This window comes from Homo sapiens, chromosome 15, assembly GCF_000001405.40.
Source record: "Homo sapiens chromosome 15, GRCh38.p14 Primary Assembly".
NCBI classification, from domain to species: Eukaryota; Metazoa; Chordata; class Mammalia; order Primates; family Hominidae; genus Homo; species Homo sapiens.
This window is the reverse complement of record NC_000015.10, coordinates 95,883,891-95,885,447: the sequence shown is the minus strand read 5'-3', so window position 1 is coordinate 95,885,447 and position 1,557 is coordinate 95,883,891. Positions and strand designations below refer to the sequence as shown.

General features: G+C 40.3%; 1 annotated feature.

Moving 5' to 3' along the window:
• Nucleotides 848–1,349: an enhancer, noted in NCBI's record as "NANOG hESC enhancer chr15:96427328-96427829 (GRCh37/hg19 assembly coordinates)". NCBI's record gives its function as "activates a minimal SCP1, AML or CMV promoter by ChIP-STARR-seq in naive H9 embryonic stem cells {active_cell/tissue: H9 hESC(naive)}" and the evidence as "EXISTENCE:reporter gene assay evidence [ECO:0000049][PMID:30033119]".

Here is a 1,557-nt window from a genome sequence, read left to right as displayed (position 1 = left end):
TCCACCAGTCATCACGAAAAGATAGAATACATTTGCATAATATCTGCAGGACACCAAAGGGGCTAATTTTTTTTTAGATACCACATGCAAAATATGACTTCATAAATGGACGGTGGCAACTTTTCCTAATGTCATGCCATGTCTAACCAGTGCTTAGCAACTAGATCACAGCCCAGCAAAATGGAGCCCACTTTGTATAGTTGTAGAGATTTTGTGACTCCACATTATTTACCTGTGTGACTTCTGTCAACTCCTCCAGTTATCGTTGTGTTAATTTTGTGCAGATTGGTACTTCTAATGCTTTATAAATGCCAGACTTCTATTCCTGTGTATTCTAGATCTAAACTGCTCTAGGCCTGCCTGGTCTGTTTTCTAGGGTACATAATGATGTTCTTGATGTTCCACTGAGACACATGTTTTAATCCTTAGGAAATGAGCTTGATTTGGGATGATTACATACAATTTCTCACCTTGTTGACCTTGTTGAAGTTGGAAGAGGTCTGAGACTATCAACAGAACTCGAACTCCTGACCTTGTGACATGCCTTCCAATTCTGTGTGCTGACATATCACAATAAAAATACCTTGAACGTCTACATGCAACACATGAGGTGTAGACCATGGAAATCCTGACTCCAAACAGGAATGCAAATCCTGTGTAAAATTGAAAAATTATTTATCAAATGTGCTTGCATAACCAGCAATCATAAGTGTTGAAGCAAACAAGGCTAGATATTATGTTACAGCTGCAAATTGGAAGCCACTCTGTTACGTGCAAACAAATAACATTCCTTGAACATCCCATAAACATCTCCTGACATACCATTTCTGCTAGCACAACACTGAGAGACCATATGTGTATAAACGGAGGGTGAAGTGTGTGTCAGAAGTTGGTTCCCTGGGACGATCTCATTTGGGGAGACAATGTGATCATCTCTAGTTCACAGAGCTTGGGCTCCATTCCGTAGTCATGCTGGCCTTTAAGAGCCTTGCGGTTCAGCATCTCTGCCATAAATGGGAGAGCTGGCATTCTTTAGGACCTGGGGGAGTTGTTGTGTTCCACTGGAATGTGTTGAATGGCTTGTAAATTAGAGTCCCTAATGAAAACTCGCTGGTGTCCAACTGCAGCAATCATCTGGTTAAAATCAGGCAGTAATTCCACTAATTTTACTGCCCTTCTCCCAGCCCTCAACGCCTCATTTAGGAAAAAATGTTTATGTTCCCCTCAAAACACCTGCGTTTTAACTTCAGTCCCCAGAGCAATTATAGTTTTTATTTTATTTTATTTTTTAAGTCTCTCTGTTGTGAATGAAGCATTCCTCCCCCACTTTTTTTTTTTTTTTGTAAAATGCAAGTAAATAAAATCAATCTTGAAATCTTCGACTGTGGACGTTCTAAGTTGTCATTTGTGTGTGTTTGCCCAGAGCCCAGTTCTGCAGCTGTTGCCCAGACCCCTTTGGTTATTTTTCAGAAAACAATAGCAAAAACCTTCCCAAAGAAGTTTACATTGTGGCTGAGTTCAGATTTGAACCACAACGGTGTGACTGCCACTTACTCA